Source organism: Homo sapiens, chromosome 4 (assembly GCF_000001405.40).
Source record: "Homo sapiens chromosome 4, GRCh38.p14 Primary Assembly".
In the NCBI taxonomy this organism is placed as follows: Eukaryota; Metazoa; Chordata; class Mammalia; order Primates; family Hominidae; genus Homo; species Homo sapiens.
Genome location: NC_000004.12, coordinates 10,352,869 through 10,379,967, shown reverse-complemented (window position 1 = coordinate 10,379,967; position 27,099 = coordinate 10,352,869). Strand labels below are relative to the sequence as shown.

The window sequence follows — 27,099 nt, the reverse complement described above, 5'->3', positions numbered from 1 at the left end:
ATATGTGTGTGTGTATGTGTATATATGTGTATATGTGTGTATATATGTGCATATATGTGTATATATGTGTGTGTGTATGTGTGTATGTGTGTGTATGTGTATGTGTGTGCATGTGTGTGTGTATATGTGTGTATGTGTATGTGTATGTATATGTGTATGTATGTGTGTATATATGTATATGTGTGTATGTGTGTATATGTGTGTATATGTATGTATGTGTGTATATGTGTACGTATGTGTATGTATGTGTACGTATGTGCACGCATGTGTACATATGAGTGTATATATAAATATATGGGGGTGTGTGTGTATATATATATATATATATATATATATATGCAGAGCCTTGGGCTGCTTGCCTCTAGGCTGTTGTGGTTCAGTCTTACTGGGAATGCCGACAGGAAATATTTCAGAATCATCTCAGGATATACATATATACACATATATACACATATATACACATATATACACATACATATATACATATATACACATATATACACACACATACACATACACACACATACACATACACACACATATATATACACACATATACACATATATACATACATACATACATATACATATATATATATATATGGGGATTATTACAATTCAAGATGAGATTTGGGTGAGGACAGGGTCAAACCATATAATTCTTCCCCTCTGTATTATACTTCTCTGAAGCACAGGCTTTTAACGATATAGGAATTTCCTGTCACATCATTCCAGGTCCCCACTTGGATAATCAAGACCACACATTTTCCATTTGCAGTATTTCAAAATATCCAGCTGACATTTGCAGTTTGCATGACAGGTGTAAGTTTTAAAGAGTATGATCTTTGAGTACTATCCCTTCATGGAAAGAAGGCTGTGTCATTTTACAGGTAACATGCCTACCACTACTGCAAGATTTGATGTAAAGGAAAACTTTTCCGTAACTGTTTTTCTGACTAAAGCATCAGCAGTTATGAAGCATCAACTAGGAAAGCTTTACGATCTCCAGCCCTCAACATCCATAGATCTTGACATTAGTATTAACGAGCCTCTACCACAGCTAAAACATCTACAATCAAAACCTTGATCTTCCACTGTAGATGATCCTTGTGACATCTGTGAGCAGCTCTACTTTAACCTGGTGTGAGACTAGTCATCTGTCTCAACTAAGGAAAAGTTCCAAGAACAAGCAGACTACTAACCAGGAAATTAAAACATGCAATTTTCCATATAATATTTAGTGGAGGGTCCTTTTAAGATTGTAGTAAGGTCACCAAGGATACCTTCAATGCTAGTTAGCAGGTAGTGTAAAAACAGGTAAGGAAAGGTAGCTTTATCCATACAACAAGGAAAAATGACATTTATCATTAGTGCTAACTTGCCATTGGATAAATTTTTTTTTTCCCCCCTGAGACAGAGTCTCACTCTGTCACCCAGGCTGGAGTGCAGTGGCATGATCTTGGCTCACTGCAAGCTCCGCCTCCCAGGTTCACGCCATGCTCCTGCCTCAGCCTCCCGAGCAGCTGGGACTACAGGTGCCCGCCACCATGCCCAACTAATTTTTGTTTGTATTTTTAGTAGAGACGGGGTTTCACCATGTTAGCCAGGATGGTCTCAATCTCCTGACCTCGTTATCTGCCCACCTCGGCCTCCCAAAGCCACTGGATCAATGTTTAAGTTTCCAATGAAATGCCCTTCAGCTCCAATGGGGGTGTTATATTCCACTATACCCCTTTTTATTTTTATTTGGAGATAGAGTTTTGCTCTTGCTGTGAAGGCTGGAGTGCAACGGCTCAATCTCAGCTCACTGCAACCTCTACCTCCCAGATTCAAGTGATTCTCCTGCCTCAGCCTCCCAAATAGCTGGGATTACAGGAGCCCGCCATCATTGCCCAGCTAATTTTTTTGTATTTAGTAGACATGGGTTTCACCATGTTGGTCAGGCTGGTGTGTAACTCCTGATCTCAGGTGATCCACCCACCTCAGCCTCCCAAAGTGCTGGGATTACAGGCGTAAGCCACCGTACCCAGCCGCCCTTTTAATGCATGAACCATACATGAGACTTAAGGGTTCTAACAAGTTGAGGACCAACATCCAATTTCATACGCCAGGTAATGTAAACTAAGGCTCTATCTACGGGACCATGGGATGATTCAAAACATGGTGACATCTAATTGTTTCCAACTTACATCATCTGAGTAGTGCTTAGCACTCTCACATGCTGTGTTCCTGAAGGAAACAGGGAAACCAGCTACATAGTCCCAGACTACCGCAGATCTTGTCCCACAATACACTCCTAATTGGGATTTCCAGGAATGTGTGTTTTGGGAGGAAAGATTCAAACTGGCTCTTTTATGATGTTTTTTTTTATCTTTAAGAGACACACAATATAGAGTGTCTTCTAAACCTGGGTCTTCCCAGTTTTAGAATTTCCCAGTTTTAGAATTTCCACAGTAACCAAGAGACCTCTTTTGAGCCAGTTATTGAACAACACTCACAAGACCACAAGTGTTTCAAGAGATCCTACTGGAGATGTGGTTTATTGATGTGTAGGGACTGGGAATGAGCTCCTTGCTCTTCTACTTTGCTGCTGAAGTGAAGTACCCATGCCCAGTTTTAGACAGAATAGGACTCTTCTGTTCAAATACAGAGCTCAGAGAGCAAGATGGAATGGCTACAACCTTCCTGTTCATTTTTACTGTAAGATTTTCTTCACCCTTATACCAAAAAAGAACGAAGTTTCATCTTCACTTTGTCACAGCATCAAGACAACCATTCACCAGCAATAGGAACAAGGATTGAGACAAGTAATGAAGATGAAAACCCAAAGTGAAGGAAGTTAAACATGCCCCAATTGTTGCATGACTAATGAGATAGCAGCAAAGACCAACATAAAAAGACTACAAGCAGTTTACTAGAAAGTACCACACAGAGCACCCTGGAGTCATATGGGCTCATCCGTGAGGACCATGAAGATTGTAAGTACACACCCTGAATTCTTAGCTTTACTGCCAGAATAAGATGCCCACATCCCCAGACTTCCCGGCTGGCCAGGGAGCTCCGTGTGTTTCGGAAGCCTGCTTCTCAGTGTGAAGGATGAGGGGTTCTATGTCTTCTTGAGCTTCCTTCAGTCAGTCCGTTTGCGAGCTGCAGGGTGGCTAAGAAAGCAATTCATTATGAGAAGACCTGGAGTTGTTTATTTTCCTCTTATTACCATCTCCTACAACCTCTGACCTGATGCCATCAGGAAAGCTTTCCAAGAAAAAGCAAAACCAAAGCTAATGGCTGGAAAGCATTATCAATAGCTGCCTCTTCCACCCAGAAAGTGCCACTGGCTTACAGTGTTTAGCTAAGCATCAGTGAACTGTAGCAGCGTGGCACCATGCAACTATAAAGGTTTTGGAATTTCACTCCAGGCCTCCTAGATGGGCCCTAGATACTCAGCAAGAAGGCACAATATTGCCCATGATGATGACCATCCCGCACCTGTCTGCAACAATTTTTATTCATTCCAAAGGAATCCAGAGATAAGCTACAACATACCTCCACCTCTAACCTTCTAGTATTCAAATTCCTGTGGGAAATTTTCAGGAGCAGCACCAAAGACATCAGAACTTGGGAGGAAATAGATATACATTATGACCTTCAATCCTGAACATCCCCACCAAGTAAACAACGGAAACATTTCCAGAAAGAGCCTGTTTAATACATATGGACATGTTTTATATTCACTACAAGAACCCAAAGGACAAAGAGACTAGCCACTTAGAGTAACTTTAACAAAATCTTACTCAATCAAAAGTGTTAATTTAAATCAAGAGACTGATGTATATAGAGTTCATATCCTCAAAGTTATGGGAGCAGGCATTAGGCAAATAATGTAAGACAAATATTTAGCCAAAAAATACTACATAAAAATATGTGAAATGAATGCTATAAAGAATATGGCTGAAGACCACAGGGAGATTTCCTGATGACCAGAGAAAAATCAAAAGGCTAAAATAAGGAGGACGAGAGAACAGAATGTATTTGCTTTGATCATTGCAACAAGCCCCTCCTCCTGGCCCTGTGAAGTACAGGTAGGGACATTCAGGCATTTGGGTTCATGGCACCCTCCATGACCCTGGACGTGGAGTTTGAACACCTATAGACCCTGCCCTGCTCAGATAGCCCATGAAACTGTCGCAGTTATCCAAATCACTATAAGAAATGGCAGTAAACAGTTCTCTTCATTGCATATTTAGAAAATAATTTGTTACAATCAATATAAAATATCATCCTTATCCTGGATTGTCCAGGGAGACCACTGTCAGAAAAGTGATTAAAGAGAAAAAAGAACAGGGAAGGGGAAATGGAGATGACAATCAGATTAACATGAGCCGATTCTGTAGCCAAAGGGAGTCCTGCCTCTCACTGACATCGAACAAGGTCTCCACACTGAAAGATACATACAGAGCCATGAGGCAAGGAATGCAAGGGTCTCTAAAACTGGGTAAAGAGAGGGAACAAATCAATTCATAGAGCAGCCAGAAGGAAACACCACCTTGCCAACAACGTTCGTTTTCTCCAAGTGACCCCATTTCCAATTTGCTAACCTCTTTAATTAAGAAAATTAATTTTATGCCCCTAACTCAATACTTATTCATGATGGCACGATAGGAAATAAAGAACCTACCTGTTTGAAAATTGAAAGTCTAAGTTCAACATTCAGGGTTGTCCACAATAAGGTGTTCTTAACCTTGTATTACTAACAAAAGTCCTCATAACTTTACCTGGAAACACTAAGTGAGAAGAAAAATACAATAAAAATCCCCACATATCCTCTTAGCATCCCAGTGCAGACATGTGCGAGTCATATTATGGACACATTTGTACACATTTAAGTGTCAAATACATAGGCACAACTGCCTTAATATAGACTGATACATAAAGAAAAAATAGATTTCCTATGAAAGAAACAAAATAGATTTCCTATGAAGGAAATGAAATAGACCATGAAATATCTTCCTCCTGGATTCTGCCACCAACTAAAGGAGAAATACACCAATTGTATGCTAATTATTCCAAACAATATTTTAAAAACACATTTTTCCAAATGACACTCTTCCCAATCAACTAAGTGGATTGACTTAGACAACCCAGCGCATTCTCAAATTCTCCATCCTAGAGAAGCTCCTCTTTCACAGTGGAGCACGAGATTGCTGCTATTTATCAGCAGTCAATCTGCACAGCTCCCAAGAGGAAGACCATTTCTCACCAATCACCCGCTACAGCAAGCTCTTCGTCACCAACAGCTGTGAATCTCTCAGGCTCTTAGAGTCACACTTGCTTAAAAATATATATATATTAACACAAAGTACAAATGTTGGAAGGTTCACAGTTGTGACCCCTAGGAGCTTGGCAGGCCCAACACTCCCACCGGTGATGATGGGAATTATTTCAGAATCCTCATTCTTAAATACTATCGAGCCTTCCTGCCCAGAGAAGGTGTGGTTGTGACCATAATCAGCAATACCCCTCAGTTTTCTCGGGCAGCATTCACTTTGTACCAAAGGCATCAAAGAGAATGACAAGCTTCCAGCACCATGTACTTTGCGTTTACTCCTTCACCTCCTCTGGGTGAGTTTCTAAGGAGCTCTACCTACCATGGACTTGAGAAACTGCCAGAGCAGATTTCAGTCACCACAAGCAGCTACCTGATACATTAAGGGTAAGCTGACTCTGCAGAGTCTATTCTGTTTAACTGTCCAAGGGAAGAGAAAGAATCCGGGCAGAGCTCCATGTGAGTGTAGGTTGCATAATTAACATCAGTTCCCAGGCATTGGGGAGGAGTATTTTCCTAACTGGCTGGGGTCTTTGAGGTGGAAATAGAAAATATTAGTCCATTAGTGCTTCTCAACCCTATAAGCCCCTGTACACAGGGCTCAGGCACATTAATCAGGGTCAGCATACCAGCCTTACCATAGCTATCACGGCACATGTTCACGTCCAGTCATAAAAAAGGTTTGCTTTTCAGCTCTGTGTGCAGGTGCTTCCAGTCCTGATGGAACTGAAGGCCAGTGGGCTGGTTGGGTACAGGCCTCACAGTATGGGCAGCCCACAACAAGGTGTCTTCAAAGTGGACTCAGTCACTGGAACTGGGCTGCTGAGGAGTTTCCTGGCTTGAGGCTGTGGAATTATCCTGCAGAGATGAAGTAGTTTGAAGGAGAATGTTCAGGATGAAACATGAGGAAGCACCTGTCACTGCAGAGCTGCTCACTGGATGCTGGGAAACTCATCAGGACCCCTTAGGGGACTCCAGCAGCCTTTTAGCCCCAGGCCTCACCTGGCCCTTATGAAAACCCAACATGTATTACCTCTGGTTCTTGAATAGACAGGATATTGAATGGACATAATATTTTAACATTCATCTATTATACTTTAAGCTCTAGAGTACATGTGCACAACATGCAGGTTACATATGTATACTTGTGCCATGTTGGTGTGCTGCACCCATTAACTTGTCATTTACATTAGGTATATTTCCTAATGCTATCCCTCCCCCCACCCCACAAAAGGCTTCCATGTGTGATGTTCCCCTTCCTGTGTCCATGTGTTGTCATTGTTCAATTCCCACCTATGAGTGAGAACATGCGGTGTTTGGTTTTTTGTCCTTGTGATAGTTTGCTGAGAATGATGGTTTCCAGCTTCATCCATGTCCCTACAAAGGACATGAACTCATTTTTTATGGCTGCATAGTATTCCATGGTGTATATGTGCCACATTTTCTTAATCCAGTCTATCGTTGTTGGACGTTTGGGTTGGTTCCAAGTCTTTGCTATTATGAATAGTGCTGCAATAAACATACGTGTGCATGTATCTTTAAACAGCATCATTTATAATCCCTTGGGTATATACCCAAGTAATGGGATGGCTGGGTCAAATGGTATTTCTAGTTCTAGATCCCTGAGGAATCACCACAATGACTTCCACAATGGTTGAACTAGTTTACAGTCCCTCCAACAGAGTATAAGTGTTCCTATTTCTCCACATCCTCTCCAGCACCTGTTGTTTCCTGACTTTTTAATGATGGCCATTCTAACTGGTGTGAGATGGTATCTCATTGTGGTTTTGATTTGCATTTCTCTGATGGGCGGTGATGAGCATTTTTTCATGTGTCTGTTGGCTGCGTAAATGTCTTCTTTTGAGAAGTGTCTGTTGATATCCTTTGCCCACTTTTTGATGGGGTTGTTTGATTTTTTTCTTGTAAATTTGTTTAAGTTCTTTGTAGATTCTGGATATTAGCCCTTTGTCAGATGAGTAGATTGCAAAAATTTTTGCCCATTCTGTAGGGTGCCTTAACATTCATCTTATTGTTATAACTTTACATCAAGAAGAGAATACTTGTTTATGTCAAAATCCCCTTAGTATGTTGGATAAGATCAACAATTCAATCTGGATATAAGTTCCTCACCCCAACAGCAGAGGCATAAATTAGACACTGTGAGAGCTCTCATCTGATGAAACTGAAGGGTGATCTTATGGAAACATGAACCACAGAGTCAGAATTGCAGCTGTGTGGGCCAGAGAATCTCCAAGCCACAGAGTATTCAGAGATAGGAATGCCTATAACATGAATGATAAAAACCACTGTACTAATCCCTGACATTCTTACTGCCTCCGTAATGGAAAAAATAGCAAGGTAAACAAATGGGAAAGAAATTAACATGTCATTCACTCAGACACCCTGTTCCCAAAGGCCTCTCAGAGCAGGGTTAAAGGTCAAGCCCTCAGGCATTTCGAATCAGGGTCACCTCCTTGCCCTTTACTTGTGGCTCAGACACCCATGTGTCTTTGAGACAACCAAATGCTTAGGTAGATACTAAGGGGTCCCTGGCAAATCTCTGACCTGCCCCACAAGTGTTTACATCAGATGCTCTTGTGCAGATGAGGGAACCTGCCCAGGGCCTTGTCTGAGCCTGCCCACATGCGCACTGGGGGACTGGGGTGGAGCCACAGGCAGAGGGAGGAGCCTGGCCTCTGCAGTTCCTGTGGTGTGTCCTGTGGGGTGGGGGCAGGGGACCTGTTAGCAGGACTCCATCTCGCTTTGCTGAGTTTTCTTTTTTTCCTTTTTCACCCAATAAAATCTTGCCCTATTCACCCTTCAGTGTGTCTGCATGCCTAAATTTTCCTGGTCATGTAAAAAGAACCTAGTTTTAGCTGAACTAAGGAAAAAAATTCTGCAACATCCTCATTCTCAAAGCAACCAAAACCAACAGCAGGGTGGGAAACAGATTTCTTAAAAGCTGTCATCTGAAAGTTCCACCACTTTAAATACTAAATCTGTGTGCCTTGAAAACACCACTTGGGAGTTAATTTCATGGCAGCTTATTGAAGAGCCAGAGAACAGAGGTCGTGTGTGTAAATGTGGGCTCAATATTGACACTCAGTGATCTAAGAAATGAGGCTCAAAATAAACACTGCCCATGTGACAATATTCTGTGCACGTGTCTAGATAAATTAGAGCTGAAGTCTCGACCACAATATCTAGGGCTGAGAACCTCACATAGGCTACCTCGAATACCCAGGGAAGGATTCCTTACAACACCTAAGGTGCAACAGTATCAGGCAGACACATTAAAGCAAGTTCCAGGCTGTGGTCATGACTGGGTGGGAGAATGAGGATCACAGGAAACCCATACATACCTGCCGGCAAAGCAAAAGCAAAATAGCTTTGGAATCGCTCACATTGTCCCATCAGTTTCTAGAACCACCTTAACCAAGGATTTATTGCAATGGATGCAGCAGGACCATGTCAAACACATTTCTCTTCCATTTCATTCAGTCCTGGCTGTTCTAAAGGAGAATATATCACTTCCCAGGACAGTATTCACTAGAATCCACACGGGTGAAGAAGGTAGAGGCCATCACAAGATGATGGAAGGAAGAATCTTCAGCTATGGAACATGAACAGTCCTGCTGCAGAAGAACTAATCCTGTCCCGGTTCCTGATGTTTAAGAGCCCCAGGAGCCATAGAATTCTTTATTTCTGCCACGTGTGGGCAGGTGAATCAGAGGTTGGGTGGTTCAGTGACATTCCCCATATCACTCCAACACACTGCAGAAGGACTAATCCTGTCCCATTCCTGCTATTTAAAAACCTCAGGAGCCATGGAATTCTTTATTCTGCCATGTGTGGGCAGGTGAAGCAGAGTCTGGGAAGTTCAGTGACATCCCACAGATCACAACAATCAACACAGCTGCTGAGGTCAGCATCATGCCTGTGGCCCCATCCTGACTATAAAATACTATGAAAGAAACCATACCGAAATTCCTGCAGAACACTGCATTTACATTGAAATATATTCCCATTGAAGGAAAGCTCAGGATAGGGGTAGAAAAAGCCTCACTCATGATGATGGCCAAGTTCTCAAGGCATTCCTCAAGACAACTACATTTTGAAAACCATCTGAACATGGCCTAAAGAATCAAACTCACTGAAAACACAGCTGTGAAAACAGGCCGATGTGACCAATATGCTACATGAGGGGACAATATAGAGAAATTCACTGTCTCAGCAGATATGGGGGTAGTGCCCAGTACCAAATGTCAACCATGAACAAGGAGCTATGGAGGAGGAGCAGGCAGTGTCCTTCTCCCAGCATTTATGTTCCAGGGCAGTGGTTATCCCTTGATGGTATTTCATACCTGGAAGACTGTTAGAAACACAGGACTGGGGCTGTTGAAACTCAAAGACTGAACTGTATCCTTCAGAGTCCAGGTACGACCCCAAGATAGGTCTACATACCCCCATTCATTTACCAAGAAGACTCCACAAGACTTAGAGTAGTAAAGTCCTTGTTAACACAGGGTTTTATAAATTGAAGGCAAGGTCCAAAGTAGGTAGAATAGATCTGGTCACACATGGATCAGAAACAAGCTCCATCCTTACCCTTAGGAAACACACAAAGAGGAGGTAGAGAGTATTAGAAAGCCTCTGGAATACAGTGGGTTGAACTTCAACACAGGAACATAGAAAGCCTCACTCACTCCCTGGACACTGTTGCCAGTTTCTCCATACCCATGACTTTCCTGAAGCTTCACGTCAAAGATATGGACAAGACAGACCTAGTCTAAACTTAGCCATTCCCACCTCCTCTTCAAACTTACCTCTCTAGATCACAGGTTTGGAAACACATCAACATTTACTTCTTACCTGTTTGATTTCAGGTCCCAACCTGTGCATTCAAGACCACACCTTGCACTTTCTATTTGGAGCATTGCAAAATAATCACATTGATATTTACAGTATGTTTTCAACAGGCACATGAGTTAGAAGGTATGATTCTTGAGCACCATCCTTCAGTGGAGGGAAGCCTCTGTCATCTGAGGAAGAATGTACTTATAAGCACGGAAGGATTTCTGTGATGTTGCAAGGAAGAGAAACAGCTTCCCATAACCACATTTCTAACGACAGTCTCAGCATTTGTGAAGCCTCAACAGTCAGTACTTGAAGATGCTCTGCCCTCCTCCTCCTATCTTCACATTAAGTATTATGGAATCTCCAACGACAACATCGACGTCCGCAACCCCAACCTGGGTCTTCTGACATAGGTGATTTTTCTCGTGTCCTGTTAGAAGGTTCAATTTAGGCTGATGTCTCATTGCTTTTGTACAGTAACACACATCTTGTCACCTCACTGTGAGCACTGTAGGCACCATACAGCAAGGATCATCACAAAAAGGTTACTTGGAGAGAAGAACCAGTGTTTTGGGGAGTGTTAACACACTCTCAGGTAACTCCATAAAAACAGCTAGAGTTTTGAAGGATGTTACATTACTGCTGATGTATACTACATACTTTCAGCTAGCATGGTTGCCTATCTATGGGATATGTAAGCACTTTAGACTTTGTCACTATTCCATAAATACAGTGTAACAACCATTTATATCACATGTACATGGCAATTGGTATCATAAGTAATCTAGAGATTAAAGACACAGGATTATGTGCATAGGTTATAGTATGCAAACACTAAGCTATTTTGTGTAAGGAATTTGAGCATCTGCAGAGGGTCCTGAAAATAGACCCCACATATAAAGGGACAACAGTACCCGTTTTTCATTCTGAATGTTACACACTATCAAGTTGACCAGTCACACATAGCAGAACCAAAGGAACAAGATCCTAAAGGTCAGTTGTTACTCAAGCTAATACCTCCATACCCCAGAACAGAAAGGGCAGTGATGTACCCAACTAATTGGGAGTTAGCACAGAAATCACTTTATTCCAGATGAATCCTGAGGACTTCAGCTCCTGTAGGATCAAAGGAACCTATATTTTTTTAGAAGTTTGCAGCCCCTCCTCAGGCCAGCTACCATCACCATCTACTCCTGGATCAGCCTGCCCAGGGCAGATACAGCAACTCAAGCTAATGGACCAGGATGTCCAACCTGGAAGGGAACGACACATTTCTAAGATTTTTGGGGTAGGAGGCACATAACCCTCATTCCTACCTTAGTATATTATTGTCTTCATATGAAAAAGGAAATCAATTTCTTCTTATTCTTCTGCAAAGACAACTTATTCTCTCATTGACAAGACATGATATTCATGCAAAATGGGGAATAACCACCATAAGCTGACATCCCACCTCAGTGACATCCCTCAGATCACTCTAATCAACACAGTTGACCTGCAAAGAATTCCAAGCAGCAGCAAACCATTAACCTCAAAAGCACAAAATTCTCCATAGAGTATTAGTGGAGGGCACTTTTAAGGCTGTAGTTATGTTACCAAGGAACTTTCAATGATAATTAGCAGGTAGAGTAAAAAGAGGCAAGGAAAGAAAGCTAAATCCACACAAGGAAAAATGTAATTTATCAGTAGTGCTAACTGGTCCTTGCATGAGTGGTTAAGCCTCCGGGGAAGTGCTCCTTTGACAATTTAAAGTGGTAGTGTGAGATAGTGGAGCACCCAAAGGGGTGTTATATTCCACTAAAGTTCTTTTTAGAGCATGAACCACATAGGAAACTTAAGAGATGTATGTAGTTGGGGACTAATAACCAATGGCATGGCAGGTAATGTATACACAGTTTAAACTCTAAGGTCCCATCAGTGGGTCCATGGAATGATCTGAAACAAGGTGACATCTCACTGATTCCAACACACCCATGTCACCTGAGCAGTAGGTCCTCAGATGCCCTGTGCCTGGAGGAAACACTATGTTCCCGCAGAGGCCAACCCAGACCTGCTCCCACAGACTCCTGTTTAATGGGGATTTTCAGGAATGTGTGTTTTGGGCAAAAAGGCTATCTCTGATCTTTTTGTTTCTTTCTTTTTTTTTTTTTTTGAGATAGAGTCTCACTCTGTTGTCCAGGCTGGAGTGCAGTGGCATGATCTCGGCTCACTGCAGCCTCTGCCTCCCAGGTTCAAGCAATTCTCCTGCCTCAGCCACCTGAGTAGCTAGGATTACAGGTGCATGCCACTATGCCCAACTAATTTTTGTATTTAAAGAGACAGGGTTTCACCATGTTGGCCAGGTTGCTCTCAAACTCCTGACCTTCAGGGATCCACCTGCCTCAGCCTCCAAAAGTGCTAGAATTACAAGCATAAGCCACCGCGCCCACTCTGATATTTTCTCTTTAAGTGACAGTTTATTGAGTGTCTTCCAAACCTGGATTTTTTTTCACAATCTGAGACCTCCATTGACCCAGTATTGAACAGCACTCCCTGACCACGAGTGTTTCAGGAGACCCTTCTAGGAATGTGGGTTATTGATGATGCATAGTAAGTGGGAATGAGCTTGTTCTCATAACTTGCTGAAGGGACCCAAGCCCCCATTGCATACCAGCTTTAGACAGAAGACTTGTTTTACACTGAAAGCTTTCAGAGAATAGACTCAGGCAGCCACAACCTTCCTTTTTCTACTACAATACTTGCTCTACCTCATACCAAGAAAGAACTAAGTTCCATTCTGAATGCATCTCAACATCAAGGTGACCATTCACTAGCACTAGGATCAAAAAGCAAGAGACAGGTCTAATGAAGGAAGAAAACTAGAAGGGAAAGTAGTTGAGCCTGCCCCAAGTATTGAATGACTAATGAGATGCCAGCAAAGATAACAAAAAATACAACTGCAAGCACCTTACCTGGAGTAGTCTTTAGTGCTAGGCTGTCATAATCAAGTCTGGGCATATTTTACCACCAATCATTTGAGTACAGCCTGAATCAAACAGGCTTATAGCTTTGTTTTCTAAGGAAGGAAGAAATATCTGGAATATACAATACATCCAAAGAAGCAGGCACAAATTCAGAAATCTGTTCCCACAGAAATGATTGGCAACATGATATCAGCCTCTGAAAAACTGTCAAGATTGAACTGACCTCACCTCTTTAATAGGAGTGGTTAACACAGGCCACTCTGGAATCACTTGGATTCATTCCTGAGGACCAAGACGACTCAGTAAGTACACAGCTTGAACCAGCTTTACAGCCAGAGGAATTAAGACACCAAATCCTCAGACTTCCCAGCTGGCAACGAAGCTCCTGGAGCTTCACAGGGAAGTTTGTCAGTGTAAAAGATGAAGGGTCTCATGCTTGCTGAACCCTCTGCTGACCAAGGGTACTTGTCTCAGTTCACAAGTGGACTAAGACAAATTCATCATGTCATCTGTGTTATGACTTTGTATTGTTGCTTCGTTTGCTTAATGTCTGCTCCCCCGTCTTGGAGGTTATCAACTCTGTATGTCAATTTCTTTGGGGGAAAAAAGTGACCAAATCTCAGGCCTGGAAGACCAATAGCCATCTCTCCCACCCAGCAAACACCATTGGATCCAGTTCTGACCTAAGGGTTAACTGCAGCCGTACGACATCGTGGAACTAGAAAAGTATCAGAATTCAGCACAACGTTGCCCCATGATGAAAACCTTCCCTTGCCTGGGCCACAGTCATGTTTTTATTGGTGCCAAAGGCATCCAGATATAAACTACAGGGGACATTCAGGCCCAAACTTACACCACTCAGATTTTGCTAGGGAAGTTTTGGGAACGACACCTGAAATGTTACAACTTTGTAGGAAACACAGATGTAGGTTATAGACCCTCCATCCTGATGAATGCCGCCTCAATTACAGAACAGAAACCTTTCCTGAAAGAGCCTCCTCACCAATACATACAGACAGGTTTTGTAGCCACTACCAGAACTACAGGATAAAGAGATGAGTAATTTAAAGGGGACAAACATTTTAAGAAAACTTTAATGAATTATGAAAATAAGATCAAGAAGTTGGCATATAGAGTTGACATCCTCAAAGAAGAGCAAGCATTAAGCAAACAAAGCAACATGAAGTCATAACAGAAAAATATTAAGCCAAATACTACTGTTTAAAAATAGGTAGGATAAATTCTAGAACAGAGCTGAAGAGAACAGGTAGATTTCCTGATGATCAGAGGAAAGTACAAAGGCTAAAATGAAGACAAGGAAACAGAACTTATTTACTTCAATCATTCAAACATTGCCCTCCTCCTTGGGCCCAAAGTGTAAGGAGAGAGAAGAATAGGACTTCCAGGCATTTGGGTTCAGAGCACTCTTCGTGAGGTTCAAACCTACGGACCCTGCTGTGCCCAGACAGCTCATCCAACTGTATGATTTATCAAAATCACAAGGAACAATAGATAACAGTTCCATGCATTATGTATATAGGAAACAATTATTTCCATCAGTATAAAATATTGTGAATTGGAACATAGACTATGACCTTGATTACATTGAGAATTCAGGACTTCCTAATCATTGGCTTTTGCGAGCACTAACAAATAGGCCTGGAACATACAGTGTTGTATTACTGATGTAGTCAAATTTAATACATTTTATGCCACTCCCAACATTCAGATACCTGAAAGAATAACTTATTTTCTCTTTTAGGCAGGACTTTAAAGAGTTAGGGCTATGGGATTAAGACTTTCAGGCAGAACAGGATCAAGGTGGATCTCATCCACTTTTCCCAAAGGCATCACAAGAGGAACTGCCCAGTCATAAAGGATGGAACTGACCTGCCACACCTGTCACAGTCACCTGTGTGACTATCCTGAGGCCAGGCTTCTACAGACCTTGATTCTGTATCACAGAAAACATGAAGGAGTCCTGTGAGCTAGCCAAATATGTTACCTTCAACCAGCTCATCCCACAAAAGAAAATCAGAGCTGGCCCATAAAGATGACAGACTCTGAAGACCACAAGCAGATGTGTCTGGTGCTCAACTGAAGGTCATTGAGAGGTGGAGGAAAACACTGAGGGCCTTGGGATGGTCAGTCTTATAGCATGAACGCCACAGGGCCCTCAACCTCTACTTTCACCACAGCAAAGGGAGCTCATGGCAGAGAAGCCTGAACACCAGATTGGAGCCTTGGATGTGGGATCCTGAGAGGAAAGACTGCACTGATCCAGGCTCAGTCAATACTGCCCATGCCATCCACATCCAGTGGAACCTCCCTGTGGATAAAATGGAGCAGAGCAGTTAGGTGGTGAGAAACCTCACCAAGAGCACTGCAAATACTCCTTTGATAATTACCATCATGCACCCACAGAACAGCTGTATCTGACAGCGATCAAAGGACAACCTAGGCTGTGTGGACAGGATGAGGTAATTGAAGTAAAAAGCCACATACAGAAGTTAGCACAGTTAAAACCAATCACGTTAGCCAGCAGCTTCCATGGGGAATGCAGCACCTAGTATGGGGGGGGGGGGGGGGGAATCCAGGCACCTGGGTTATTCCCACCAGGGACTGCAAGAAAGAAGGGGTGCACACCAGCTCATTCTTCCTTCTTCATTCAACCCTATGCATTTGACTTGGGAGCCAGAGTTCTTTTGGCCAGAGTCACTGCCATTTCAAGGGAGCAGAAATACCACGTTGGAGGGGAAAAGTTCTTCCCACCAAAAAAGCATTAATCACTCAATTTCAAACGAGATGCTGACCGTTCTTAGAAGCTCAAGAACAGGGTAGAAGTACACCTGAACAATACTCAATGTTTAGGTAGTTTAGATCCTGTTTATCCCTACAGGACATAGATTAAGTAGCAAAGAAAGCAATGTGTGATGTACTATATTCCCCCAAGTGGGAATCTAACCCTACATCCTGCATTACATCGCAATGAAGGACTAAGTGTTGAAAATTTCTTCTACATCTGTTATGAAAACAGCATATGATATGTGATTTGACATGGGAGGTAGATGAAGTTTTAGCTCTTTAAGCATACATTTCCACCTATATTTGTGGAAGAAAAAAAAGCATGAGATTTAAAAGACAAATCCTCCTTTGAATATAAAGTATGTTCAGCTCTATTTTTCTCAGTGTTTTTTAAAAACTCTTAGGTACTTAATAGAAACAGACATTGCAGGAGGCAGACAAGGGACAAGGCTGACTGAGATACAGGGGTGTGAAAACAATTTCATTCCAGGAGAGGAAGAAAAGTGCCTGTCACAGGAAGATGAAGTAGAGAGATCCTGGCTTCAGTAGGTGCTCAGTCCAACCATCTTCTGCTGATGGGGAGACCCAGCCTGTTGAACATTGTTCTAGAATGACTGGGATCCTTACACCACACCTTCCACCTGCAGAGGGGCCTGCTTATTTTCAGAGGCAAATCTCAGCAGTGCAGGGGAAGTGAGGTCTTGGAGAAAATTCAAGGACAGTGGAAATAGAATTGGTGGGTAAAAACAGACTTGTTCCCAGGAGGAATTTTCTAAGACGTATTATTCATTCTGCTCAAGGGTTCCCATCAGGACTGAGCCCTGGTCAGCTCTGTAAAGTGACCAGCTCAATCCGAACAACCCAGTGACTCTTCTCTCCACCCCACCTCCTGTTCACTTTCCTCCTCTGGGTTTCCTGGGACAACTTCCAAATTAAAAACCAATAAAGCAGGCAGATTAATGGTCCTCTAACATTCTAATCCTTAGAACCCATGAACTTGGTATACTACATGACAAGGGGAAAATGAGGGCAACACATGGAATTGAGGTTGATAATCAGCTGACTTCAGGGTACACAAAAGTTACCGTGGATGGTCCAGGGATCACTGTCGGAAAAGAAAGTGAGAGAGGGAGGGAGCATCAGAGGTGAGAAAAAGATTAAGGTGTACTGCTGATATGGTTTGGCTATGTTGCCACTGAATCTCATCTTGAATTCCCGGGTGTTGTGGGTGGTACCTGGTGGGAGGTAATAGAATCATGGGGGCAAGTCTTCCCCATGCTGTTCTCATGATAGTCTCATGCAATCTGATGGTTTTGTAAGGGGGACTTTCTTTCCCTGAACAAGTTCTCTTTGTCTACTGCCATCCATGTAACACACATGACTTGCTCCTCCTTGTCTCCTGCTATGATTGTGAGGCTTCCCTAGCCAAGTGCAACTGTAAGTCTACTAAACCTCTTTTTCTTCCCAGTCTCGGGTATGTTTATCAGCAGCATGAAAATGAACAAAAACAATTGCTAACTCTGCGGTCCCCCATCTCTGAGGCTGAGGAGGGTCCCCACACTAAAGGTTGCAGAAAGAGCCACAAGTCAAGGAGTGCAGGGGTCTCTAAAGGTGACTAAAGAGAAGGAGCAGCCAGGCACGGCAGCTTACGCCTGTAATCCAGCACTTTGGGAGGCTGAGGCAGGCAGATCATGAGGTCAGGAGATCGAGACCATCCTGGCTAACATGGTGAAACCCCATCTCCACTAAAAAAATTCAAAAAAATTAGCTGGGCATGGTAGCAGGCACCTGTAGTCCCAGCTACTCGGGAGGCTGAGGCAGGAGAATGGTGTGAACCTGGGAGGCGGAGCTTGCAGTGAGCTGAGATCGCGCCACTGCACTGGACAACAGAGCAAGACTCCATCTCAAAAAATAAAAATAAAAAAAAAATAAAAGCGGGAGCAAAGTGTCCAGTACAGCAGCCCTCCCCCGACCAAAAAAAAAAATTGCCAACACCTTTTCTCGAAGTGATCCCATTTCAAACTTCTTACTTCTTTAGAACTATAAAAGTTTTTAACTCATTGTTCACTTATCACAGCATCTTAGAAAAATGGTACTCATCCAAAATTCTTGTTTCAAGTTTGAACATTTAGGGGAAATACAGTATAAATCACATTGCTTGTCTTGTATTTCAAGTAGGAGTCTTCAGAACTATCCCATATCTAGAAACCCTAATCCAGAATAAAATAAATGCAACAAAAAAGGCCACATATCTTCTTAGCATCCCAGCATTGAGACTTAGAAACACTACAGACAATGCTCATTTAAATTGTGTTGAACATATAGGCACAAATGCCTTGAGGTAGATTAAAATATGTAATAGGATATTTTCAGTTTTCTATGAAGGAAACTAAGACAACAAAATATCTTCCCTCCAAGTATTCTATGGGCCCAGATAACTTTCACACTGGATTTTACCACCAAAGTAGAAATATACCAACCATATACAAATTATTCCAAACATACAAACCAGACATTTTTAAAAATGACAGTCCGATCAACTAAATGGATTTACTTAGACAAATGAGTGGATTCTCAAATTCTCCATCCTAGAGACTCCCATCTTACAGTGGAGCACAAGACTCCCACTTTTCATGAGCTGTAGGTCGGCATAGCTCCCAAGTCACCAAATAGCCACTACACTAAGCTTTGTCTCAAAGAGCTCTGAACTTTCTCCAATCTCTTTTCATGGTATCTGCATTTCAGGCTTTTTGAAGCACTTCACAGAAAAGTGACACAAATGTGAAAGGGTCTTGGAAATCAAGACCAGCAGCTGTTTCCACATCACAGAAGAGAACCCTGGCTCATACTTGCATCCCAGGGGCCTGGCAAGCCCAGCACTAGCAACACCAGGGGATGGGAATGATATGAGAAACCCATCCCTTTGATGGGAGACAGCTGAGCCCTTTCTGCCCAGTGGTGGTGGTACTATTGCCACCATAATCAACGCTGTCTCTAGATTTTCTGGGACAACATTTACTTGTTACGAAAGGCACCAAAAGAGAGAAGCAGAATCCTCCAGCGCCAAGTGTTCTGCATTTAGCCCTTCACCTCCTCTAGGTGAGTTTAAGGTTCTGCCACCTATCACTGACTTGAGAAACTGCCAGGGGATTTAAATCTGCCACCATGAGGAATTACTTGCTGGTGAACAAGTGACTCAAGAAAGTCCATGACCTGCTGAACAATCCAAGGGGAAGAGACAAAAGGAGAAGGAATTCCATGAGGATACAAGTTGCATAGTTAATACTGAGGAAACTTCACTTCCCAGGCATCAGGGAGGTATGTCTTCCTGTGGTCTAAGAGGTAGGAGGAGGAAAACTGCATTTCCTAAGGACTCCTTAGTCTTCAATACCCAGATAAAAGCAGGGTCTCAAAAAGGATTGGGCCAGTGGACCAGCCCTACTAACAAGGCAGCTGTCTCTCATCTAGTCGTAAAGGAAGGGTTTGGTTTTCAGCTGTTCATGAACAGGTACTTTGCCAAGTCCTGATGCAATTGGAAGGCCAGAGGGTGGGCTGGGTACAGGGCTCGCTCAGTGCTTACAGGAACATAGCGACCACCCAGCTGGTGTGCACATGCTCTGTTGGGGGTGGGGAGTATGTAGCAGCCTCCAGGGGGATGGGCTCCATGAAGGCTTTGACTGAATCTGGGAGGAACCCAGGGGCAGACCAGAGAATCGACACAGAATTCAGGGGAGAAGATCAGGTATAACACTGGTTATACAAAGTACTGCTTTCCTAACTATGTGTGTTTCTACTGCTTCTATAGTCAAAGAAAAGATCAAGTAAAAGGGACAGAATGTTTGCATTTCAATCTAATACCCCATTCCAAGGGGCCCATCAGAGCAGGGGGTAGGGGGTAGTCAGGACTTCAGACATTTGGCCTCAGCCGCCTTCCATGCCCTTTACATGTGGTTCAAACACCTATGTGTTCTCATTCTCAGAGCAACCACAACCAAAGAAATAAATCAACAGGTCAAAGAAGGCTGTCAGCTGAAGGTTCTACCTCTGTCAAAACTGATCGGAAGTCCCAACTTGAAGACTATCCCAGCAGATTATCCCATAGCATATTGAAGAGCTAAAGATGAGAGAGCCCAGATGTATGAATCTTGAGATGAGAGTCCAGGCTCAAGCATTGCTCATGAACGTCAGCCTGTGGATATGTCTGGAGTGAAATCAAAGTATCTTTTACAACACTCGGAATACAACAACTTCACATGGATCACCTCAAATACTCCAATGGGAAGGGCCCACTTGCGACATATAGGGAACAAGAGCATCATGCAGACAAGTTAAAGGATGTCCTGGCTATGACCATGAGGAGTTTGCAGGATGAGGATCACATACAACCCATGGATACCTGCCAACAAAGTGAAAAGAAAGTAGCCTTGGAATCCCTCACCTTATTTGGGCATTAGTTTCTAAAACAGGCTTAACCAAGGGCTAGGCTTTGCAACGAATGCAGCAGGACCATGGTATCAAACAAATTTCATTCTTCCCTCTGATCTAGGTGTGTCTGCTTCAAAGGAGAAGACATCACCTCCCAGAGCAGCCTTCATTAGAATCCACAGGGCTGAAAGGAGCTAAAGACCATCACAAGATAATGGATGTTTCATGGTTTTCAGCTATGGAACTCTTTGGACATGACTACTGCAGTAGGACTGAGGCCATCCCTTTCCAGTGAAAATGAGTCTCCAGGAACATTGGGAATCTTCTGGAAAGTGGGCATGCGTGGCAGAGACTCGGAGCTCAACATCTGCCAACCTGATGTTTTCAGCATAGCTGGGGAGGACAGAACCATGCCTGCAGCCCCACCTGACCAAGACCCTTTCCCGTGATCACTTGGTTACTGTCCTAGAGCTTTCTGTCAATTATACTGGGACAGTTCAGCCTAAGGCACTAAAGGAAACTCAGCTTTTCAGAGAGAAGAATAACCTCAACCTATGGGTTTATCAGAGTTTGAGTGGATCCCAGAATAAACCGTTTCCTAGGAAGCACATTCTCAGGTGATTTTGAAATATTTCCTGTAAGTTTTCCCAGCGGGACTCAGCCACACACAGCCCAGAAGTGACCTGCTCAACGCTCTGCCCATCTCCAGGCTGCTATCCCCACCCCATCTTTCACTGTTCCATGCTACTGGTTTCCTGATACCACTTCCAAAATGTTACACACCCAAGCATAGAGCTCAGATTCTAAGTTCAGGGAACCCAAACTAAGATATACAAGTTACATTTCATAGTTCAATGTAACTCTCTACTATTCTTTCATTACCACAAATGACCAATATCAAAATGCCAAATTACTCATATCAGGAAGAAAAGTTGGAGCATAGAGTCTCTAATTGAAGTTATAGTCTAATTCAAGTTAATATGAGTCTAAGTTTTGTTCCCTTAATCTACATTCTAATGTTATTTGTGCTAATACCTAAAAAATGACTTGGCAAACCTTGCACAAAAAGCAGATATGGGATATACAGGCTTTCATCATTTTAAACCTCCCACCAATAGTACCACAGGCCAATGCCTCTTTGTTTCTATCTTTATACTAATGAACTATAAATTCTTTCAGACAAAAAATACTGCTTTCCAGGTTTTTGCAGGAGGCTGCATTCTATTGGCATGTTTTGAGATTTGAAACAAAGCTCAGGGTAGAAGCAGACAGAGCCTCATTCATGTTGATTGTCAAGGTCTCAGGACAATATCCAACTTACCCCCACTATTCTGGGATTCACCAACTGAACAAGGCTTTAAGGTAGAACTTCCTCATGGAGGACACATCTATAAATAACCACACATGGTCAGTATGCTACATAATGTCATGCGGGGGAAAGCCAGAGAAACTCATTGTGGCTCAGATGCCTGGCAGTGCCCATTATCAAAGGCTAGTGGTAAGAACGTGTGAAGAAGAGACAGACAACATCCATCTTCAAATTGTCAAGTCCCAGCACAGTGGTCATCCCTGACAGACTGTGCCAACCATACAGTTCTAGGGATGGAGAAATGTAAGGCCATTGAAATGTGTCCCTCAGACTAAGGAGAGGACTCCAAGATAGGGCTGCACATACTCATTTCTTCACCCAAGGGACACCCTGCAAGGCTGCAGGTCCATCTAATAGAAGGTCCTTGGTAATATTTTATAAACTCAAGTCAAGATCTACAATAGGAAGGTATCCAGTTACACACATATCAGGAACAAGCTACCTACCCATCTCTTATAATGCAAACAAATACAAAGGGAAATAAATTAGAAATCTTGTGCAATGCAGAGGGCTGAGCTTCCTCACAGCACTGTGTAATTCTTGCTCACTCCCTCCCCGGACACCACTGCCAATTCCTCCTTAATCCTGAGTTTCCTAAACTTAAAGTTAAGGCTCTATAGGGGGAAAGACATAGTCTAAACTTAGCCTTTCCCAAGTACTTACACCTCTCTAGGATCACAGGCTTTTAAACACATGCAAGATTTTCCTTCTATCCTTGGATTCCATATCCTAACCTGCACACTAAAAGCCATAGTCAGTCACGCTTTTTGTTTAAAGCTCTTCCATATATCAAGTTGATATTTGCATTTTCTCAATAGTTGCAAGTTTAGCAGGGTATGATCCAGGAGGAAAATCCTTCGACTGAAGGAAGCCTCCATGTCCCCTCAGAGATAGCGACATGCCAATGACCAGGGCAAGATTTGGTTGATGATGCAAAACAGCTTCCTATGGCAATGTTTCTAATTACAGCATCTTCAATTATGAAGCTTCAATCTCATACATTTGAAGATCCTAACTTGCAGCTCCCACTTGGATTGAGAGAACAGTGTGTGGATCTAACCTGTGAGGTTGCAAAGGCATAAGAATGATACAATGGACTCTGGGGACTTGGGAAAAATGGAAGAGGGACGAGGGATAAAAGACTACAAATATGGTGCAGTGTATACTGCTCGGGTGATGGGTGCACCAAAATCTCACAAATCACAACTAAAATACTTATGAAACCAAGCACCACCTGTACCCCCATAACTTGTAAAAAATAAAATACATATCTTTTGATTCTTCCCTAAATGATTAACTGGGTTGCCTGATTTCTTGGAGTATTGAAACAATTGCTTTTGGTATCACTTCATTCTTGAACATGAGTTCTCTGAAGTACTCCAAAAGTATACGCAAAAGCACAGGTGACAAATAGGTTAAAAATGCCTAAGATGCATATAAAAATCTTATTTAAAAAAACTGTGTGGAGACTCACATAATGAACTTTTGCTCCAAGAACTACTGCAGAATCTACCAGGAAAACCAAAAGAATTCAGACCCTTTGAAAGAAGTGGCTCTTCACTGCAAACTCTGAGACAACTGAAAAACTGAGTGCCTAAAGTGTGAATGGGGAAAGTCCACCTTCAAACACACACTCTCACTGCAGAACCAGAAAATACAGATCATGGGAGAAAGATTTAACCTTACCTAGAATTAAAATAGAGCTGAGCAAAATATAAAAACGAGCAGCAGTGGGAAGAGCCCTGTGGGCACTCCTGGTCCCCAGGGAAGCCATTTCTGACTTTATCTCACAGGGTTCCTTGGGGGAAGGCTACCAGCAGAATTGGGGAAGGACCGCAGGGAAAAGGAGACTTCCAACTGAACTTTGTGATAACTTTGCACACACATTTTCCTGGGCAGAATCAGGGGGCTGAGGGTGGCAAATGGGAAGTACAGATACTCTTACCTATGGAAGTTATCTGAGCTACCAGTGGCAAATCTGTATGGGTTTGCAGCAACCTCAGTTCTTGCCTCCTCAGAAGAATTCTACTGAGGGGCATAGGCAGAAAGAGACTGAGGAAAATTTTCACAACAGGAATGACAGCTTAAAAAGGCTTTAGAGCAGGAGAGAAAAAGTTCATTTGGAAGAGACCCAAGTGGGCACGTGAAGGTCAAGTGCTGTGTTTAACCTTGATCCTAAGACTTTGTAGGCTGGCCCCTTTCCCATGGTTCTCCCCTTAGGGTGGGCTGCCCGCATGCACAGGGCCCTCCTTACCCTTGTGAACATGCACAGTGCGTTTCAGAAGTTGTATGCGCGCCCACTTGAGGCTTTCTTCCCTTTTCCAGTGGTATACCCCTGTGTAAGGTAATGGCTGTGATTTGGTCAAGGAGTAAGTCAAGGTGGATATCCAGGCCTGCATGATTCAGTGAGCTTGGTGCACAAGCGCATATCTCCATTTGTTATATAACCTGTTTGTGTAAGTTCATACTTGGCTCAAAGCCAGTATTGTCTGTAGAAGGTATAAGTGTCCTGCTGATGCTGCCCAGGGGGTCCTTGGGGGCTTGGCTCAGCTCAACATGGCTTGACATGGTGGGAGTACTGGCCCCCAGAGAAAGAGAACCAAAGCTTGTAGATGCACAGAGAGAGAGAGAGAACCATCTTGCAGATGGACAGAGAACCATCTTGTAGATGGACAGCAGGGAGACAGGACCCAGCGTGGCTTGCTTTTGCCCAAAGAGGTAAAGAGTTAAACTGCTGACCCTGAAGGCAAGGGAGAGGTGGCCATGCAGCTGCAGGTATGGGGGCAGCAGGAACCTCAGAGCCAGAGCAGACAGCCAAGATAAAAGTGGGCAGTGTAAGAAAAGCTGCTCATGAGAGAGCTAGTTTAAGTAAGCTGAGTAAAACAGCTAATGTGAGAAAGCTGTTGATGAGAGCTACTACTGAATAAAATCCTTCACCTGTCTACAGCCCCGAGTGTTCTTTCTGCTCATCCACCCACTCCCCCTCCAGACCTCAACATGACCTTTTGTGTAGTTGTGAACCTGACATCCCAGAAGGTCCTAGTCCACCATTTTGTCTCCTAATACATATGCCACAGGGAATCTGCTTCTCCCTGGTTCCTGCATTCAATTAACACTTTAGTGCAACAGGTGTGGACCATCAGGAAATGGCCTTTTCCTGGCACCTGCTGCCAATTTATCACTTTTAGAGTGGTGATGTGATCATTGCCAAACAATTACCTGACATTCCTATTGGGTGGAAGAGGCCTCTCCTGCTCTGCTCATGCCTGTCTCATTACCTGTAACAATACAGACACAGAAGCCTGGGAAGGTGATGAGGGGTGGGGCCTGAAAGCCCTGCTTGCTTTCTCAGTGGGGAGGCATGTAGCCTGTAGCAAGATCTCTGCCCTGTACACTGGGGGCCTGGATATAAACTTGGTGCTGTTGGTGGGGCATAGTGGGAATGAGACTGGAGTTGGTGGCTGCATGTGGGCTGGGTGAGGCTTGTCACTGACAGCTTTCCGCCACTTCCTTGGTGACCTGTATGACACAGCAGAGGCAGCCATAATCCCCCTGTGAACATAACTCCATCAGCCTGAGAACCACACCCCCATCCCCCACAGCAGCCACAGCAAGTCCTGCCAAAGGAGAGTCTGAGCTCAGACATGCTTGACCCTGCACTCACCTGATGCTCTTTCTCTACCTGCCCTGGTAGCTTAAAACAGAAGCTCTTGGGAGCCTTATGGCCCTGCCCATCACCTGAGAAACCCAAACACTTATCCAGGCAACCTTAGGGCAAGCTTGTATTCCCCCTGTAACTACTTATACTACCACAGCTAATGCTCTCTTGGAAGTGCCACCTCCTGGCTGGAGGCCAACCAACTCAAGCAATTACAGCAACTCAGCACAGTCCTACTCCAAGAAAGGAGAAAACTGCTGATTTCACCACCCGTAACATCCTGGCTAACCAGAGGTTCTGAGTCCGTCCACATGACAACTTCACTGCTAGCATAACCAGCATTCGAGAGAATCAGCACACTCAACAAAACTACCACCAAGAACTCCCACAGAGTCCATTTCACCTTCCTGCTTCCTCCTTCCACTGGTGCAGGTTCTGGTATCCATGGCTGAGAGACCTGAAGACAGATCACATCACAGGGCTCTTTGCAGGCACTCTTCAGTACCAGCCCAGAGCCTGGTAGCTCCACTGGGTGGCAAGACCCAGAAGAGCAACATCAATCACTGCAGTTCGGCTCTCAGGAAGCCCCACCTCTAGGGGAAAGGGAAGAGCATCACATCAAGGGAGCACTGCATGCGATAAAATAATCCGAAAAGCAGCCTTGAACCCCAGGATCTTCCCTGGAGAAGTCTACCCAAATGAGAAGGACCCAGAAAAGCAATTCTGGTAATATGACAAAGCAAGTTTCTTTAACACCCCCAAAAGATCATACTAGCTCATCAGCAATGGATCTGATCAAAGAAAAAATCTGTCAGAAACAGAATTCAGAAGCTTGATTAAGCTACTCAAGGAGGTACCAGAGAAAGGTGAAAACTTAAAAATGTTAAAAATACAGGATATGGACAAAAAATCTCTGGAGAAAGATAGCATAAATAACCAAAACTTCTGGAAATGAAAGATACTCTTAAATCAAATTATGCTGGGAAGTTTCAACAACAGAATTGAACAAGTAGAAGAAAATTTCAGAGCTTGAAGACAAGGCTTTCAAACTAACACCATCTGACAAAAGCAAAAAAGCAAGCCTCCAAGAAGCTTGGGATTATGTTAAGCAACCAACCTAAGAATAATTGGTGTTCCTGAATAAGAAGAGAAATCTAAGTTTGGAAAACTTATGAGGAAACAATCAAGGGAAAGTTCACTGACCTTGCTAGAGATCTAGATGTCCAAACACAAGCAGCTCAAAGAATGCTCAGGAAATTCATCACAAAAACATTACTTAGACACATAGTCATCAGGCTATCTGAAGTCAAGACAAAAGAATCTTAAGAGCTGTGAGGCAAAAGCATCAGGTAACCTGTAAAAGAAAACCTATCAGATTAACAGATTTCTGAGCAGAAATCCTACAAGCTAAAAGAGACTGGGGTCTTATCTTTAGCATCCTTAAAACAATTATTAGCCAAGAATTTTGTATCCAGCAAAACTAAGCTTCATAAATGAAAGATAAAGTCTTTTTCAGACAAACAGATGCTGAGAGAACTCGCCACCACCAAGCCAGCTAAATTGAACTGCTATAGGAGGTCTAAATCTTGAAACAAAACCTTGAAATACACCAGAACAGAACCTTTTTAAAGCACACATCTCAGAGCCTATAAAACAGTAACACAATGAAAAAAAGACGTATTCCGGCAACAACTAGCAT

At 43.2% G+C, this 27,099-nt stretch overlaps 1 long non-coding RNA gene across 1 annotated transcript, besides 1 other annotated feature; it reads left to right on the top strand.

The window, feature by feature from the left end:
- The first annotated feature begins 2,342 nt into the window (after positions 1 to 2,342).
- On the top strand, positions 2,343 to 23,035 carry LOC124900667 (uncharacterized). Its single transcript, XR_007058031.1, has 2 exons — positions 2,343 to 2,978; positions 20,495 to 23,035. It is a non-coding gene; the product is annotated as an uncharacterized LOC124900667 (long non-coding RNA).
- Positions 7,830 to 8,053: a silencer, noted in NCBI's record as "fragment chr4:10373539-10373762 (GRCh37/hg19 assembly coordinates)". NCBI's record gives its function as "represses an EF-1alpha promoter that drives an FKBP-Casp9 reporter gene in an ReSE screen in K562 erythroleukemia cells {active_cell/tissue: K562}" and the evidence as "EXISTENCE:reporter gene assay evidence [ECO:0000049][PMID:32094911]".
- Positions 23,036 to 27,099: the final 4,064 nt, after the last annotated feature.